Genomic DNA, 19,671 nt, shown 5'->3' with positions numbered 1-19,671 from the left:
ATATGAATTCACATTGGATAGTAAATGGAGACAGTTTCGGTTTTATTCACTCAATGCCTTGTACCGTGTTAGACAAAAAAACCATCTCTGCCCACAAGAAGCTTACAGTCTAGAAGACAAGATAAAACATGTACACAAATAACTGTTACACAATTAGAATATAATGCATGCTCTAAGTATACTATAATATATTATAATAAATACACTGGAATTCCAATTACATATTGGAAGTACAGGTACTTTACCTTGTTCTGTTACTGATATGTGATCTTCTCTCAGAAATAAGCAGAAATAGTCCTCTTATATAAATCTTTATTTCAACAAAAGAATTAGAAGCAAACTTTACGAATGTGTCTGTCTTATAAGACAGTGTTTATAAAACCTTAGGATCTTTAAAAAATGGCAATCATAGGCGAGCCCTTCACAGATAGTCAAGGATTAGAATGTCTGCCTTACACCCTTCCTTTAAGTGCCTATGTCAGCATATCTAAAATTTTAAATTTTACACACACACACACACACACACACACACACACACACACACACACACACACTTTTAACAGGGGAGGGAGGCGGTGGAGGAGACCCTAACGCCCCTAAGGTCCGAATCGGGTCACTCAACTAAGAGTAGCGTCCAAAGGCAGGATGCGGTAACACCTCCACTACGAGCTTTTCCTTTTCTTTTAATTCGCCCGCGCAGCGCCTCCTGCCGGTCCCGAAGGCGCAGGGAAGGGCGGACTCCCGGGACCCTCTCCTCCTCCCGCAGGGCCCCTGGGTTGCTCGCGGAAGGCGGGAAAATGCGAGTGGCCTTCGCGCCCGACCTCGGACTCGGCGACCTGTCCCCCACCCGGAGAGGGAGCGGAGGCCCGAAACTCCCGTTCGCCCCCTCGGTTATCCCGTGTGGCCCCCGCTCCGTCTCGGGTGCGGATCCGGGATCCAGCGGCCTTGCAGTGGCCTCAACTGCGCCCACCGACGTCAGGCCCATCGCCCAGGGCCGCTCCTACCCAATCCATACCGAACGCCTCACCGAGGACGCTCCGCGGTCCGAGCACTTGTGCCGGCCGAGCCCAGCCCCGCGCCCCTGGCCTTGCCGCGCGCGCCGCGCCTTCCCTCGGTGTCCCGACCCTGGGCCTGTGGGGAGGGTCGAGCTGGATGCTCCCCAGCTGCTTCCGTGCGGACTGCCGCGAGAAGTCCCTATTTCTGCTCGGGTCTCATTGCCTCTACTTTTCCGCAGCCTCCCTGGGGACACTGGCGGTCACACTGCAGTATAGTCCCCCAGTGCGCTTATCCATGAGCAAGCGCATAGACGTGGCTCAACGGAGCGTTCACCGACTGGAGAAGCAACTCCCGGGCCCTTTCTCCCAGGGCCAGTCCGCAGAGTTGGATAGGGCTTCTCTGCGACCTGGGGCCTGCGCCATCTGTAGCCGCAGAAGCTTCCTTTCCCCGCGGCGTCGGCGGCCAGGGTTAAAGGCCCCGGCACCGGCGGTCCTGGGGACGCGCGTGCCTCGCTGAGGGAGGGGGAGGCCGCCGGCATCAGGCTCCGGCCGGGCGTCCGCTGGGCCTAAGGCCCTCGGGGAGCGGGAAGCACACGCCCAGAGTCTCGGGGCTGCCAGGGGAGGGGTGGGCACGGCGTCGCGGGCGAGGCTGTGAGGGCTGAGGGCTTGTGGGACTTCTCTAAGGGAAGTCGGCCACGTGGAGAGGCTTCATGGACACGAACTAGGCCTAGGCCTCTCATCCCTTCTCCATCACCGCCGACTTCAGCCCTTCCATCACCGCCGACTTCAGCCCTTCCCCCACCCGCGTCTTCCCAGCTTAGTCCTACTCCCGCCGAACAGCACCCGGCCTAGTTCTCCACCTTCCAGCCCCCCCATCTTGCCCTCCCTTCCCCGCCCCACGTCTCCTTGCCCTCCGCTTCCTTCTCTCTTAACCGCTCCCCTCTCACGTCTCTAACCCTCCCCTTTAGCGCTTTCTCCACTTAATCTCACTCCCCCTCGCTTGCTTGCCCCCAGGCGCCCTACTCAGGTTTGAGCGCTCACTTTGTTTGTTTGTTTGTTTGTTTGTTTGTTTTTGAGACAGGGTCTGTTGCTCGCCCAGGCTGGAGTGCAGTGGCAAGATCTCGGCTCACTGCAACCTTCTTCTCCCAGGCTCAGGCGATCCTACCACCTCAGCCTCCCGAGTAGCTGGGACTACAGGCGCGCGCCACCACGCCCAGCTAATTTTTGTATTTTTAGTAGAGACAGCGTTTCACCATGTTGGCCAGGCTAGTCTCAAACTCCGGACTTAAGTGATCCGCCCGCCTCGGCCTCCCAGAGTGCTGGGATTACAGGCGTGAACCACCGCGCCCGGCTCCTCACTCTTTTAACCTAATTGTTTCTTAGTTTATGTGGAAATAAGCTGCCTCCGCCCCGCCCCCCCACATAAGGCTAACTTCGTCTTTTTTACTCACAGTGCAAAACAGTTTCTACTACACAAAAGATGCTGCACAGGTATAGAATAAACTCTCGAAAGGAAATCGATCTCCACACGAAGACGTTTTCCTCCGTTGGTCAAGCCGAAGGCCCTCTTTGGCCGTCGGTGAAACAGGAGAGATTTCTACATTGGTTCTCAGACAAGCCTGTTCTTTCACCCGGAGATTCAGAGACTGGGCCGCGGTGCTTCTTACAGGCTGCACGGGGGTTTGTGAGCACCTGGGGGCAGCGGTCGAGGCTCGTAAAATGCCCCGGCGCGAGCAGGGCGCGCAAGCATTGGGCACGGCCTGTCTGGCTGCCCGCCCGGGCCGCGGCTGCGGGACTCAGGCAAACACCCAGGCCCGCCGGCCACGTGCCCAGAGCCCCGCCCGAGCCCCAAATCTGTGGCCCCTAAGCCATGAGCCGGCGCCGGAAAGTGAGGCAAGCGCGGCTCTCCGCAGGCTACTCCTAACCAGTTCCCGGAAGGCACTGAAGGGCGCGCCTCCAGGTTGCTCAGGCCATCTGCTGTCTACGGCAGGCGCGGCCTTGGCTTTCCCTCCAAGCCCTAGAGGAGCAGTGGTTCCGTGCAGCCCGAGGCTCCTGGTGTCCGAGAGCCTGAGGTCCTTTGGCAACCTTTCTTACCCTCCCAGGGGCAAAATATAGAGAGCCGAATCTGAGCCCTGAGCATCGACAATGTGGCCTCTTCTCTTCTTAGTGTGATAAGGTCATATGTTTTTTATAATTATATATAATGTATGTTAGATATAATAAATATACGTTTGCCAATTACCTGGGCTTGCATAGACAGAATGTATTAGCTGTGGGCGCAAGTATAGAGAGTCTCCCAAGGAAAAGATTGCAAAAACGAACTTGGAGGATTTCGGGCCAAAATACTCTTGCTTTCAGCTGCTTAAGTGGTTTTGGGCAAGTCAGTAACCTCTTTCCCTTCATCTCATTATTTACTAACTAAAGTTATTGGGTAAGGTCTATGATTCCTAAGGTATTTTCCAACTCAGAGACTCTCCCCAACAAAAAAGCTTTTTTAAAAATTCGATTAACGTTTGAATTAGTTGGTTTTGCTTTTCCTTCTTTTTAACCCTTTTTCTCTCTATTACTTTCGGAAAGAGGTAGGAAACAGCTTCAAAAGGTGAAAACATCCAGAAAGATCTGAAAAAATGGAAAAACAGAAAGTGAAGAGATCGACTAAAGTCATAAAAATGTATCCAGTTTCTCCAGTGAAAATAAAACCAAACAGAGTCTTTTAGAGCTCAGCCTCTGGTTCAGGTTTTCACAGGAATATTGAATCTCAAGTTTGTAGAGGGCAGGATGGGTATTCCACTGATAGGTCCCAATCAGACTATCTTATTATCTCCCTAGCCTAGCAAATGAAATACTCAGGGTCTTAATTGTTTGTTCCATAGAGTGTGTCTAAAACCTGTTGTGTCTTCATGTTCCTAGGGTGAGTGGTGGAACCTGGCCATAAGTAAAGTGGAAAAGAAAGGAGCGTAGGAGGAATGAGGCTTAAGGAATCTCCAGTAACGTGCCACCTTAACTCAAAGTCTCAAAGTCCTACCTTTCGCTTAGCTTCTTTTTTTTTTTTTTTTTTTTTTTTTTTTTTGAGACAGAGTCTCTCTCTGTCGCCCAGGCTGGAGTGCAATGGTGCGATCTCAGCTCACTGCAACCTCTGCTTCCCAGGTTCAAACGATTCTTCTGCCTCGGCCTCCCAAGTAGCTGGGATTACAGGTGTCCACCATCTTGCCCAGCTAATTTTTTTGTATTTTTAGTAGAGACGGGGTTTTACCATGTTGGCCAGGCTGGTCTTGAACTCTTGACCTCAAGTGATCTGCCCGCCTCGGCCTCCCAAAGTGCTAGGATTACAGGCATGAGCCACCATGCCCAGCCAGCTTCTTAGGTTCACACACAACATAGCCAAGGGTTTAAAACTCTCTTCCTGAATTCACTCCTTCATTAACCAGCAGTCTGCATTGGTTATGAGCTAGGCACTAGGGATTAGGTAATGGGGACACAATGTGGAGTAAACTTTGGGGTCCATTTACAAACTAGTGACAGAGATGTGTAGTATGAAAAGTGCTGTCACACAGCAATGCACAGGTGTCATGGGAGCATTAAACAGAAACACCAGGGTCAACATCAAGGAAAACTGTCCAGAGGAATGCCCTTGAGCTGAGCTTTAAGGAAAGAGTTGAGGGGGATTTTGGAGTTAAGGGGATGGGTAGGCACCCAAGGACATGCCTGAAGGCCCAAGGCTAGAAATAGCTTCCTTTAGAGAAGTTCAAGTAATCCTTCAAAGCAGAAACAAATGGTGCAAATGAAAAAATACAGAATTAGTGGAAAATACAGCTAAAGAGGTAGGGAGCAGCTATATGCTGAAGGGCTTAGTGTGCTGAATTTGAACTTTATCCTGAAAGCTATGGGAAGCTCTTGAAAGAATTTTAAGTGAAAAATGTATAATATGAATTTGCTTTTTAGAAAGATCATTTTGACAGTAATATTGAGGACAGATAGGAGGGTTGGGTAAATTGTAGGGAAATGAGTTAGGAGACTGTTGCAGTAATGCCTGATAGACGTGATGAGTTTGAATTTAGGCAGTGATAGTGGCTGTGGAAATGAAATTGAGGGAGGATAGGGAGAGAGGGAGAGACTGATACAAATGATAAGAAGGGAGACTTAAGATAACCTGATGACTAATTGAGTGTAAGGGATGACTGAGAATGAGTAGACGAAGATTCCCAGGCCTTGGCTTAGGTATCTAGAGATTCAGTGATGCCACTTGCTGAGAGACAGGCCAAGAGTGAAACAGAAAGATGTGTTGTTTGGGACTTACTGAGTTCATATGTCTGTGAGACATCCAATAGAGATGTCAGCAGTGATCTAGCCTGGAGGTTCAGATTTAGAAGTCACTAGCATAAAAACAGTAGCTGAAGCCCTGGGTTTGGATGAAGTCACTCAAGGAGAGTGTTCATTTGAAGAACAAACTTAGGGAACACCAATTTAACAGGTCATCAGAGGAAAAGGAACCCTTGAAGGATATTAAGAAGGAATGGCCAGAAAGGCAGAAGGAAAACATAAGGATAAGCACTATTTGGGGGATACCTATTATCTTCTAGTTAATGGCCCAGAATCTTTATATGCATTGTGTCATGGAATCCTTATAGCAACCCTAGAAGGCAGATGTTTTCAAATAAAAAACTTAAGGTATGAGAAGTTATGTAACTTGACTAGAGTATGTTCAGCCTCTGGAGTCAGATGAAACCTCGGTTCAAATTCCACCTCCCAATAGCTATAGGATATATCCAAATACTTAATTTCTCTGAGTCTCAGTTTCCTCATCTGCAAAATGGGACTAATAAAACCTATGTTTGAGAATTCTTGTGAAGATTAGATGAGATAGCATAGTGAAATGCTGGGCACAGAGTACATAACTGATGGTTATTTTCCTTAGTAATAGCCATAACCACATATCTCTATGTTAACTCGAGTTCTACCATCTATTCTTTAGCCCTTTGGCCCAAACATGGACTCCAAATTCTCATGGTGTTTAATGCACAACTCGGACCTAAGCAAGACCAAAGTATAATAATCAGACTTTACTAAAGGTTTGGGCATAGCCAGATGAGAATGAACATAGAGAAACATAAAGCTAGATAATCTGAAAGTTTATCACTTCATTTTTAGGATCCCCTGCAAGGGTACTGCCTTCTTAACTAGCCCTAGCCCCTGGGAGAAGCCATCTTTTCCATACCACCAGAGAGCATCCTCAAATAATCCATTTACCTGAAAGTCCAGCAAGAACATGATTCCAGAGGAAGTCAGGAGTTTTTGCTGAAGACCAAAACCCATCTTGCAAGATTCTATTACCTGTCAGAGGACCTGCCCCTCCCAGACAAGTGATACAGAGAATGTGCACTTTCTTCAGAAAAGGTCATGTCTACCTCTAAGGGTATGACCTTTTTATATGGCCTCAACAGTAGAGCCTTAGAACACAAAATAAGTCTAACATTCAAATAAAGGTTATACACTTTTCATTATTCCTAGAAAAGATAAGACTTCTCATCTGAATTTTTCTTAATCTTTCACGACCCTTAGGTCTTCTTTTATGGAAAAAGATGCACGCAAAGACTATAGGCCAAGTACAACAACAAGATATTACAGCAAAAGGAACCTCTCAGACTGAAGGTAGGAGAAAGATTTTGTCGGTATAATTGAGAAAAAAAACCACAGTATTTATGTTATCAAAATTAAAAGATATGGAAATGAATAAATAATTGGTTAGCGTTCACTGATGTGTTTTTAATCCTCTAATATGATTAGGTGTTTCAAAGTATAGAGACTTTTGATCATGGCTTTAGTACAATTCATGATGGCAGTTCTTTAATTTTTTTTCTTCACACTTGTTTCAAGGAATGTAGAGACATATTCTGCCCTAGGGCTTTAGTCTGTTCACCTCTAAGGTGAGGATCCTATGCAGATTTTTTGAGAGTTAGGCACACAGCTTCAGCAAGCTAGAGACTCCAAGTCATGGCCTATTTTGCCCATTATAAAAGCTATCCTCATTAACCATTATTTTAGTCACCTGTAAAACATGGACAAGATAAAATGTGTTGTTTGATTTTATTTAATTGACCCATAGCATCCATTTTTCATGGGAATTATCCTCTTTAGGTTAAGAATTTTAATGGTGGGCCACATGCGGTGGCTCACGCCTGTAATCCCAGCACTTTGGGAGGCCGAGGCGGGTGGATCACAAGGTCAAGAGATCAAGACCACCCTGGCCAACATGGTGAAACCCTGTCTCTACTAAAAATACAAAAATTAGCTGGGCGTGGTGGTGCACGCCTGTAGTCCCAGCTACTCGGGAGGCTGAGGCAGGAGAATCGCTTGAACCTGGGAGGCGGAGGTTGTAGTGAGCCGAGGTCGCGCCGGTGCACTCCAACCTGGTGACAGAGCGAGACTCCGTCTCAAAAAAAAAAAAAAAAAATTTAAGACATCCTTCAGGATGGCAATAGGTCTTCCCCCAGGTATCCCCCCAACAACAAGAAAGGATGGTTATGGTCAGGGTAGTATGGGAAATGCTGGGTTATACTGTGTTAATCAGGTTTCTTTACTGCCAGACTGTTCAGAGACATTAGTTGTTAGCATACATTGTTAAGTTTCAGATGTATTTGACTACAAAATTCCTTTTTCTCAGAGCGTCTAAAAAGAATTTTGTGTCATGGATTATGCTTTAAAAAAACCCTGCTATTTGCCATTACTATGATCATTACCAGGAGAGCATACTTCATTCGGAGAAACTCACCTGAATGTTCTCTCACCATTGAAACCACATTTACCTTCTCCAGTGAGTCTTCCTTATCCCCTCTCTTCCACCCTCACTGACAGGGGAACCTTCTACATACGTCCATAGAAGCCTACACATACCCAGATCATAGCATATTTATTTCCTTATTGATGTTTTTCTTTATTTGCCTCTTATAATAAATCAATACAACGCCTAACACACTGAGATACTCAAATATTTGTTGAATGTCTATCAAATGAATGATAAGTATTGGAAAAATATATATATATATATATATACATTTAATCAAAGAATTTCCTAGTTACAGATATGTCCTAGGGTTCTTCATAGGACACCAGGTTGTAGAAAGATAAAAAAAAAAAAAAAAAAAAAGGACACCCTCTCTGTTGACACACCCACTAGGCAAACACCTATTCCATATCCTTCTGTCCAGGCAAACTTAATCATTACCAAGAGCTCCTGTGAGTCAAACCATAGCTATATAATTCCACTGGATTGTTTCCATAAGGTTTTAACTCAAGAGAGAAAACATGACTAGAGGAAAGGAATCCTTAATTACAACTTTAAAATATGATCAAAAGCAACATTGAAGAAAAGTGTTTCCAGGGAAGAGCCGAGGATGACACCCAGTTTATAATAATTCATTTTCCCAAACCTCAGAGCATGTGATCAAAGCTGATATACATTATCTCAGTCTTGCTACCAGGGTGACTCTTTTTTTTAACTTTTTTTGAAGTTATTATTTGGATGAATAAATAGATGAGGATGTGCCAAGCCAGAGACAGTCACTAAGAGTCCTGCGGCATGATCTGTAATAATTCTTTTTTTTTTTTTTAATAAAGAAGCTGTGGCCTTTGGCAGCTTGAGATATTATCATGCAACTCAGGCCGTTTCGAATGAAGATGGGAACATAACATGTTAGAACTTGCAAGAGAAGGACAATGGAACCTCCTAATTACAGTTGGAGGAGGTTGCAGTCAGATTAGGGTTATTAGGCAAATCAATGTGATACAAGTACCCTTGACAACCTGTATGCTCAATACTGGGATAATTCAGTTAATCTGGGCCAGGTATCTAAGAGATTTATACCCAGTAAGGCTTCAGATCAAACCAGTTAATCTTCCTTCCTACCACACCATCAGAGAAGGAAATAAAACCATGAAACTTCTAGTTCCTTCTCTCTCCTCCCATAAGGTATGCTAACGTTGATTTATTGGTAATTGTTGGCAGATGTCCCTGAAAGACTGAAAATTTGCTAAATTCCTTGGCATATTTGGATGAGAGAGACGAAAACTTCCTACTCTAGAATCTGCATAAAGAAGGAATATGCAATGTATTTTTCCGAGGATCTGGTGGTGTGGTGACACCACTCCCTAAAAATTCTAAACATTTTACAAAGTCCAGCTCAAACATCTTTTCATCTCTTTATAAAAGAGGAATTCTCCCCTTCTCCCAAGTTTAGAGCTTAGAGAAAGTACAGGGCAGGACTGGGACCAATCATTGGAAGGTGCAATGAGGTGGATTTTTGATTGAACATAAGACTTCTCCAGCGTTCAGAGTTACCTAATAATGGTACCTACGACTTCACAAAATGTAAGTGCCCCTACCTTTAATAATACTGTATAAGGGATGAACAAAGACTCTTTTTTTTTTTTTTTTGAGACGGAGTCTCGCTGTGTCGCCCAGGCTGGAGTACAGTGGCACAATCTCGGCTCACTGCAAGCTCGCCTCCTGGGTTCAGGCCATTCTCCTGCCTCAGCCTCCCGAGTAGCTGGGACTACAGGCGTCCGCCACCACGCCCGGCTAATTTTTTGTATTTTTAGTAGAGATGGGGTTTCACTGTGTTAGCCAGGATGGTCTCAATCTCCTGACCTCGTGATCCGCCCGCCTCTGCCTCCCAAAGTGCAGGGATTACAGGCGTGAGCCACCGCGCCCGGCCGAACAAAGACATTTCTGAAGTTCCTTCCATTCAAAGACATTGCTATTCTTGAAACATAATAAAGATTACAAATTTAAAAATGTGCTAGCTGTTCTGACTAGCAATCCTGTGACCCATCAGCTTTGTACCTCACCTTCTTTGATAAGTAATGGTTTCTTCTTCATTGGTTCTGAAGACCTGAGAGGAAGGAGGAGATGAAAGGTAGAAAAAACAAAACAAAACACCTTTTGAGCAATGTAAACATCTTGAACTAAATATTCACCATTTTATATTTTTAGCAGAAAATGTAAAAGTTGTTCTCTGTTTACAAAAGGAAGAATTATATTGGAATGAATATTCCTTGGTCACCCAAATTGTGAGAGTCCTATAATAAGTAGAAAGCTGACGGGAATCATCATTTTACTCCACAAAACCAATTTTCTTTTTTTTTCTTTCTTTCTTTTTTTTTTTCTTTTTCTTTTTTTTTTTTTTGAGACAGAGTTTCGCTCTGTTGCCCAGGCTGGAGTGCAATGACGCGATCTTGGCTCACTGCAAGCTCCGCCTCCTGGGTTCACAACAGTCTCCTGCCTCAGCCTCCCGAGTAGCTGGGACTACAGGCACGCACCACCACACCCAGCTAATTTTTTGTGTTTTTAGTAGAGACAGCGTTTCACCGTGTTAGCCAGGATGGTCTCAATCTCCTGACCTCGTGATCCACCCGCCGCGGCCTCCCAAAGTGATGGGATTACAGGCGTGAGCCACCGTGCCTGGCCACAAAACCAATTTTCAACTGTTCTTTAATAATTGTACTCTAAGAAGGGCCTAAAAATGAATTTTTAATCTGATGTTTTTCCAATCGTGTTACTCGTGTAACAACATATATTATTTATAATATCAAAGAAAAAGAGTTTTTTAAAAACTTTAAATTGGCTCCTGACTATTTTAGGCATAGGCTAAATTCTTTTAGCCTTTAAACCCTATACTAATATATATAACTTGACTCTATCAATTGTACCTTAACTTTTTTTGTTTTTTAACATTTATTTGACACCTATTCTATTATATGCCACCATTGTGCTAGAAGCTTTTACATAATTTGTATTTGGATAGATAGCTTTTACATAATTTGTGTCTGGATCAGTAAGTTAGCAGAGGAGATTAAATTATTAGTTTATAGGAGGACTTCAGAGAATTTATAAAGTTAAGCAGTGCATGTAATAGTATCTATAATAATTATAACTATCTAGATTTCATGTTGCAGTTTATCTGTCCAACACTTATGTAAATTCCTGTAGTTTATTCTCTTTTTCTCTTTCATTGCTTTCTGTTCTTTTGTAATAGCTTACTAGCTTTATTAAGATATAATGCATATACCATAACCTTTACTAGTTTCTAACCTTTTTTGTTGTTGTTGTTTATTTGAGATGGAGTGCCAAGGCTGGAGTGCAGTGGTGCCATTTTGGCTCACTGCAACCTCCATCTCCCAGGTTTATGCAATTCTCCTGCCTCAGCCTCCTGAGTAGCTGGGATTACAGGCACCCACCACCACACCGACTAATTTTTGTATTTTTTTAGTAGACACGGGGTTCACCATGGTGGCCAGGCTGGTTTCAAATTCCTGACCTCAAATGATCCGCCTGCATTGGCCTCCCAAAGTGTTGGGATTACAGGCATGAGCCACCGCACCCGGCTCTAACCTTATTTAAATCGTAAGAGATAAACTTGATGCTAAAGAACAAAAAGAGGCCTTAACTGTAAAACAAAAATTGACAACTCAAACAGTCCATTTTCCACTAATATTTACAGTTAAGTATGTTTTTAAGAACAGATGAAAATACTTTGAGGCAAAAAGAGAAAGACAAAGTTTGAGGAGAAAATAAAGGCATCTGAAAAATAGTATAGGAAAAGTTGATGACATGCAGTATGTATATGAAGAAGGTGGAGAGTGTGGAGCCTGGATACTGAGTTTGGTTTGGTAAATATCAGAAGGGTACATCAGGGCTTTTGAGAGAGGATGGGAAAAATTAAGAGACCAGCCAAGTTAATTTGGAAACAAGCCAGGTTCACATATAATAAGCTAAAGAACTGTCTGAGAGGATAGGTAATTCAAGAAGGTGGCTAAGGAAAGTTTGCTGGAAAAGGAGCAAAGATAAAGTAGACATGCCTGAAGTTTAGCTAAAGGGAAAGAAATAACCTGTATATACTCCTGTGATACAAAACAAAAACAAGTGGCAGATAGCCTATTAGTCAAAGATTCATGTTGTATTTCTGCATTCTGTCTTTTGATTCCAGGCTAAGTGTGTGATTCACAAGGAAAACCACATTGAAAAAATGTTAGTTAACCACATTGAAAAAATGTTAGTTCAATGTGTACTAAATAATCTACTTTTAAAACCAAATGTAATTATAGGAAGATCCAGTTAAAACAACACTTTTAAAAAATTGTATGCAGAGAAGAAATAACACGTTATATTTTAATTTAAAATATGACATCTTAAATTTTACCAAATGTCCCAAGTCTAAATGGAACTAGAGTTAGTGTAATGATGATCAGATTATTTGGTATTCATTTAAAATGTTACAAAACTTAAAAATATCCAGTGGCTTTTTCACGGCAGAATTTATTTCACTTATTGTTGTTTATAAAATGAAACTGCTGTTTTTACTCAGTGGATTGGAGTCATAATATAAATTAATTCATGCCACTTTACTATAATTAGAGTATAATTAATTAACCAAATAGAAAACTTCTATTATTACATGTAATAAAAAAATTTTCAAGCTGCTTTGTTTTTTTACGGCTTTGTACCACCAACACAAGGTATCTTCACTGTTCACTACTCTTTTTATGTTGTTTCTTTTAAATAGCTAGTCAGGTTATTTTTATTACACCTGGTTAGATCAGATTGTATATTTAGGTAAATTAGTTATAATTGAGATTTCACAGATTACCAAAAATTCTGGTCATTTGTTAATGTTTAAAAATTAGTATATCTTACTTGCATTTTAAAAGTCATATACATTTATATATAGTGTGTTTTTAATAAAAAGAGAAATATAAAACTCTGCTTATTCAGATACTTTGAAAATTTTAAGATTCTTAAATAAGTAAGAAAATAAACCATTTCTTAACCTTTTTTGAATCACAGATGTCCCTGAAAATCTGACGAAAGCTAGTTTCCTCTCCCTAGGGGAAAAAAAAACACACATCTGTATACGCAAGTGAAATTTTGCTTACAATTTCACAAAGTTTATGGACTCTCTGAAGTCTGCCTATGGACCACTAAAGGTCCATGAACTCTAGGTTAAGAACTTCTGCAATAAACCCACACTTTGTTTTGGCAAGATGAAAAACGAAACTATTACAAAGTATGACTGTTTAAGCTTTCATTCTTTAGGGGCATGTATCTGAAAGGAATAATTTCTTTTTTAATCTCCCATTCCCTAAAAAAATTTGGCTCTGTTATCCCTCCTTTTTAGCCTTAAAATGAGGACCAATTTCCTTTGGGTCAAACCCCAAACTCTTAGTGTCTTGACTTTCTAAATGCTTGACAACTATAGACACTTTAATGAAATCCAAATGGGTGAAATTCAACACTTCATTCTGATGCTCTTTACAGATGTTCTTAATAAGAACACTGAAGAAGTCCTTAGAAACCTAGCTTCACACATCAACCAAGGGAAGAAAGAATTCATTGGAAAATGAAGATAATAAGTAATTCCGGATAATAAGTATCTGTATCCTGTACCAGTCAATATTGTGCACTTACAACATAAACCTGTAATCAGCTTTGTAGGGAAGTATGTGACACACAGGGTACAGTCTGCTGATGGACTCCTGGGTAGCAATAGTATTACATCATAGTACCTTCTGATGTTGGATATTTAAATTCTGCTCAGAATAATTTTTCCCCATAAGAGCTTCATTCCTACAAGCGACCATTTCTTTTTTAATAAACTCCGGAAGAAGAAGAAGCTGAAACAATCACCTTCAGCTATCATAATATTAAAATAATTATTTAAATAGAAATGAAGATAATTACTTTAAAATAAACTTTATGAATGCTAGAGTTTTGTCAGTAGAATGAATGTCATAACACCATCTAGGTAGCCTAGGTTACCATAATCATTTTGTTCTTCTACTCCCTTTATTTTCCAACAGTCGATAAAAGCTCACCTGATATCTGTCTTCAAAGCTCTGAATAGAACAGTTATGGTTTGGAAAATGATTTCCCTGAATGTTCTTTGAGGCCATCTGGAGAGAAGAGTTTGCACACTTAGATGGACATAAAAGTTTACATTAAACATGTTTACCAATGAATTCAAAACTTTGAAGGTGAAAAATACTCAATTTATCTGACAAGGTATTAGTGGTAAGGGCCCTTTTCTTACAATTTTCAAGAGTGTTAGCTTTACAGGAATGTGTGGAAGTGAGGCACATTAACCTAAAAGGGAAGATCAGCAAGAAAGGTACTCCAGATTTTGCATTAGATTAAGTCAGAGTTCTGAATTCTGATCCAGAACCTGTCACTCTTGTTTCCTACAGAGCCTTAGGCAATTTACTTCACCCCACAGCTACTCCCCCATTCATCTCTTTCTTCACCCATGAAACAAAGATAATGCTGACCTACCTAATATGAGAAGGTTGTAATTTAATGTCATGTTCAAAATATTCAACAATTTTAAAGCTATTTAGTTAAGTTTTAGTATTTGACAAATTTGTACCTATGCCAAACAGATGGCTACAAACAAGTGAGACACTGGCAATGTGCTTGTGCCTAACACCATCAATAATTAGAATAACATTAGGTTAGAGGGAGACCAGAGGAAAATAGAAGTATGTAGAAAGACAGAGAGGAAGGCAAAGTTCTAGAATTGGCTTGTACCTTGGGAAAATCACTTGACTTTTTTGCACCTCAATTTCTTCATCCTCAAATGAAATGAAATCCTCTGTATGGTCCATGTTAATATTCTGTTTAATTTTAAATTTGGTCTCTTTCTGGTAGAATGTAAGCTCCAAGGGTGTAGAGCCCTTGTGTCTCTGATGCACCAGAGTAATCCTAACATCATCAGAGTAATCCTAACATCACAGAGTAGCTACTCACTAAAAATCCAATTATTAGACATTTCCTAAAGTCCCTTTCAGCTCTAATATCTGATTCTTTTTTGAAAACGGTTTATTATGAAAATTTCCAAGTATATAGGACAGTAGAGAGACTAATATGACAAACACCCCTCTATTTATCCCTCAGCTTTTCCAAGTCTTAATTTCTATATTTGCTTCAGATATAATGAAGAAATAAAATATCATAAATACAACTGAAATCCCCCCTCAATATGTACTGGTCTCTAATTTCTTTCCTCTTTCTCTCCAAAGGTACCCACTATGCAGACTCTGGTGCTTATTATTTCCAAGAACATCTTATACTTTCACTACAGTTTTATGAACTACATGTCTCCAAAATTTATATGAATGATAGGTACTCATCATTCTGCAAATTATTTTTTTCCCATACAACATTATGTGCTTGAGATTAATCCATGCTGATACGTTTACTGCTAAACGGGTCATTTTAACTACTATATGGTGTTCTATTATGTGAATATTGATTATTTATTTACCCATTCTCATGCTAGGGGACATTGATTTTTTTTTAGTTTTTCTCTATTACAAACAATATTTCAGAGAATATTCCTGCCCATGTATCTTTCTGCAGATGTGTTTGAGTTTCTCTAGTGGAATCACTGAGTTAAAGGGATATGTATCTTTAATTTCACTGGTCTAGGCCAAATATCTGATTCACTTGCCCATATTCTTACTGAGATGGTTGGTCAAGTTATGTATTTATTTTTTCATTTTCTTTTTTTATTTTGCCCCGGGCAGGAAATGAAGTGTTAATCAAGTTGACAAGAGCATCATCTTTCTATTTCTAACCTTTTCTAGATTTAAACAGATAGAAATATGGCAGAATTCTTTTAGAAGTCAAGAAGACTAACATAAAATAAGGAGCTTTCAGATGGATCTTGATCAGAACCACATAAAAATATGGCCATGTCCTGTCATCGCATTATGAAATTTACAACACAGCACTGTCAATATGTGATGTTGCAAAAACACAGTGCCACATGGTAAACATTGCCGAGGTCTGTGAATAAATCCCTCTGAGAGCTTATGACTCTTTATGACCCAGTTCACAAATGAAATAACTTTTAGAGTAGAGAAACATTGACTTTTTAGATCAAGATAATGGGAAATGTTAAATTCTGACCCATAACACCAACTGAACTACTGTTTTAATGCTGTCCTTAAATAGGCAACATGTCTATTAGTTTAATTTGGTGTTCTAAATGCTGGATCTTATGCAATTCCTTTAGCCTTGTATTTAAGATGATCTATTTGGAAAGATAGGTTATGGGAAAACTTTCTTAGTCTCAGCCCCTGCAATTAAACAGTTTATGTTTCCTCATTCAACAAATATTAAAATATAATAAAGAATATGAAAGTATTTATATTATCTACTTAACATAGTTTTTTTCCCTATATTCATTTTCTTATTTAGATAAAAGATGTAGGGCATGAACAATGCAGTTTCACTGGGAGGTTTACCTTGGTAAAAAGACAGGAGCTATTACATTCTATCTTGTCAATGATCCATGGATAATGGGTCAGCAGGGGATTTAAGAACTGTATCTTTCAGTTCTTGCCAGAGAGATACATCAATGTGCACTGATGTGAGCTATAATATGACACACCTTGCAGAACCCTCAAAACCCTTCAGGCACTCTAAGCTGCTTTTATGAAGATACGGGACTAAAGGTTGTCAGTTAAGGATGGTATTTTGTAAATAATTTCGGTAACAGAATGATTTCCCTATTTCTCCATATTAAATTCTAATGCATAAGAATTAATCCTCAGGTTTAAAAGTCCTTAGTTTTGTTTTGATTATTTCCATTACATTAGCAGCAGATCTGTTTTTACCGATAGGGTAAAACAGACCCAATATATGCGTTGGTTTATACATACATTATTTTATATATACATTGTTTATTGTTAAGTGGGGGTGGAGGGAAGCAAGTTGAAAAATAGTATTACAGTAGATCCTATTTGTGTGTGATTGTCCAGATTAGTTGGGGTGGGAGCAGATAATAAGAAATTTACCTTATACACTTATATACTGTTTGAATATTTTAAAATAAGTATGATTGTTTTTATCATCTAAAAAATAAGTAAATTTACTTTTCAATGTAAAAATATTACTTTCAATTTACAGTCTTCTGTGTGGTCTTTAAAATTTTAAGAAAGTTTTAAGAAATTAAATTAACAGTCTTCTGTAGGGTCTTTAAAATTTTGAGAAGTTTTAAGAAAATAAATGATATGTGTTTCAAGTAGAAATCACATTGATTTTTATTGAGTTAATAAAAATTTTTATGGGACAAAAGTGATCTGATTTCTTGATATTTTCTAACTTTTGTGAAATCATCAATACTTTTCTAGAAATGCTCTTTTCTCAAAACCTTATATCTTACGAGCTAGAGAGGACCTTATAAATTGTGTAGTGCAAATTCTCATTGTACAGATGAGAAACTGGGTCTCAGAGAAGTTAACTGTCTTGTCCATAAACAGTTTCAGAGCTTAAAAAAAATAAATCCATCTCTGACCTTCACGTTTATGACTCTTTCTGTCAAAAAATGGCCTCCTCCAGCTCTAATTTTAGTGTGATGATAACATAAATAATCTAAAAGCAATGTAGTTTAGCTCTGATCCTAAAACCAGCACACATCCACACCTCAATACGTAAAGCATTACTGCAGCAAATGAATGCTGTTTGTACAAAAGCTGAAGTAAGAAGTCATTTGGTGACAATATTTTCATTAGTAAATTGAAAGAAAATTATTTTTACTCTGTGATTTTCCCATTTCAGCCAATTATTATAGTCTCTTTCATCTGCTGCTTCTTTAAATTAGGGAGCAGATCAAGAGAACAAAGAAGAATGAATGAATAAAATATCAAAGCCAAACATGTCTATTAATGAAAAAATTGAAATTTGGGACAGCAACAATAGAAAATAAAAGTACATGGGAAAGACCACGGAAGGGCAGTAAGCGTCAAAGCAGAGGAAAATTTGACAACTTCAAGGACAGTGAGTAAATAAGTAAAGAAAAGGGGGTTGAGATTTGTTTTATGTTTATTATGGTAGGCACATAGTAAATGGCTGATGGATAAGATAAAGGGAATGATGGTATCAAAGGCTAACGCAGAAGTTCTATCTCTAATACACATAAGAACTACCTGAAGTGTTTGTTTAAAATAGAGTACTTATTCTTTATCACCAGAAATTCCAATTCACCCACTGGATTAGGGAAGACACAGAAATAAGTACCTTGGGTAATTGTAATGTTCACACATGAGGAACCCTGGGTTAGAATTGTCGAAGCTCTAAAAAGAGTGAAAATATGGAACCAGGATAAAGAAACCTAGAGAAGAGAAAAGATAGGAAAAGGAGCTCTGAATGCTCATAAAAGTAACATGTGCTCATTGTGGAAGAGTTTAAAAATTTAAAAAGGAGAAGAAAAGTGTACCCTTAGTTTGTCACTCATGAAGCTGCTGTTAACATTTTGGTATATTTTCTGCTAGTCTTTGTTTCTGCTTAGTTTTTTAAAGGTTTTGTTTGTTTTATATATTTGAGATAATAGTGTCTCTGTCTTTTTATATAGTTGAGATAATACTGTCTAATACCAACATCTCCTAACACAAGGTATTTAATGGAAACTTCATTTTAAACATCTGCCTAGTATTAACAATAGCCAGTTCTCCTTTCTTTCCTGCTAACAGAACTCAGGTTTCTTCAGGTGGTCAAGGGCTTCAGGCTTAAAGGCTAACTCCATTTCCACTCATAAAAGGTGATTTTTTAATTTAGTTTAAGCCAATCATGGTACAATTCTATTCCCCTTATCAGTGATTGGCCAAGGAAGGGACAAGTGACATACTTCTGACCAATAAGATATAAGGGCAAATCTACAGGTTAGATTTGTGAAACAGATTCTTAGTTCCTTAAAAGTGATACAAGGAAGAGATAATCCCTTTTTCTGCCTATGGAATGTGTGTAAGGAGGGAGCAGTGGAGCTAGTGCTTGGTGCTGTTGCAGCCATTTTGTGGCCATAAAGGAAGTCCAGTATACACACTAAAGATGGAAGAACAGAAAAGTAGGAAGAATTGATCCTAGTTGATTGTGACACTCCAATTAATTACACATCCCTGAACCCTACTTGGAGACTTCTTGTTATGTGAGAAAATATCTCCTATTATTTAAGCCCCTTTGAGGTGGGTTTTCTGTTCTGTGCAGTAGAAAACATCCTAACGGATATAGCATGATAATTTACTTACCAATTTTCCTCTTGTGGGCTATAATATAAGGTTACTTACAATTTTTCACTATCAGTTTTTGCCTGGGATAGTTTCAAGAAAAAAAAGTTACATAGCATAGATAATAAGGTAGCTTGTGTTGGGTGAAAAAAACCAACAAGCAATAAAAAAAAAAAAAGAAACAGGAATGAACTTGAAATATCTCAGGTCATCAAAGCTGAATCATTCTGAATCTCCACACCCTTTATTGCTCATTGCTGTCAGCAGAGGTGGTTATCAGTGACAAGTTACATTATAGAAGAAAAAATTGAGAAATATAGTATCCATATAACACACTAATAAAGGCAAACACAAATAAACCCCTAAAATACAAAAGTCATTCCTGTTTGCAATGTGTTATATGGTTTCATCAATTGTTTAAATCTTTCCTTATTATAATAATATTAAAATCACTTTGGTAATAAGAAAGACAACCCATTATGCCAATACTTTTCTTTTTTTTTTTTTTTTTTTTTTTTTTTTGAGACGGAGTTTCGCTCTGTCGCCCAGGCTGGAGTGCAGTGGCGCGATCTCGACTCACTGCAAGCTCCGCCTCCCGGGTGCACGCCATTCTCCTGCCTCA

The 19,671-nt window shown here is 39.9% G+C and overlaps 1 long non-coding RNA gene across 1 annotated transcript, besides 2 other annotated features; it reads right to left on the bottom strand.

Moving 5' to 3' along the window:
- Positions 1,093 to 1,142: a silencer, noted in NCBI's record as "silent region_19405". NCBI's record gives its function as "represses an Ori minimal core promoter by ATAC-STARR-seq in GM12878 lymphoblastoid cells {active_cell/tissue: GM12878}" and the evidence as "EXISTENCE:reporter gene assay evidence [ECO:0000049][PMID:35858748]".
- Positions 7,471 to 19,537, bottom strand: LOC107986872 (uncharacterized). Its single transcript, XR_001745657.2, has 3 exons — positions 13,863 to 19,537; positions 9,840 to 9,883; positions 7,471 to 7,876 (listed from the first exon to the last, which is right to left on the bottom strand). It is a non-coding gene; the product is annotated as an uncharacterized LOC107986872 (long non-coding RNA).
- Positions 19,160 to 19,360: a silencer, noted in NCBI's record as "peak7120 fragment used in MPRA reporter construct". NCBI's record gives its function as "represses an SCP1 promoter by STARR-seq MPRAs in K562 erythroleukemia cells {active_cell/tissue: K562}" and the evidence as "EXISTENCE:reporter gene assay evidence [ECO:0000049][PMID:32103011]".
- Positions 19,538 to 19,671: the final 134 nt, after the last annotated feature.

The sequence above is a fragment of the Homo sapiens genome, chromosome 8 (genome assembly GCF_000001405.40).
Source record: "Homo sapiens chromosome 8, GRCh38.p14 Primary Assembly".
NCBI classification, from domain to species: Eukaryota; Metazoa; Chordata; class Mammalia; order Primates; family Hominidae; genus Homo; species Homo sapiens.
The sequence above is the reverse complement of the archived record's forward strand: the minus strand, read 5'-3'. Positions and strand labels throughout refer to the sequence as shown.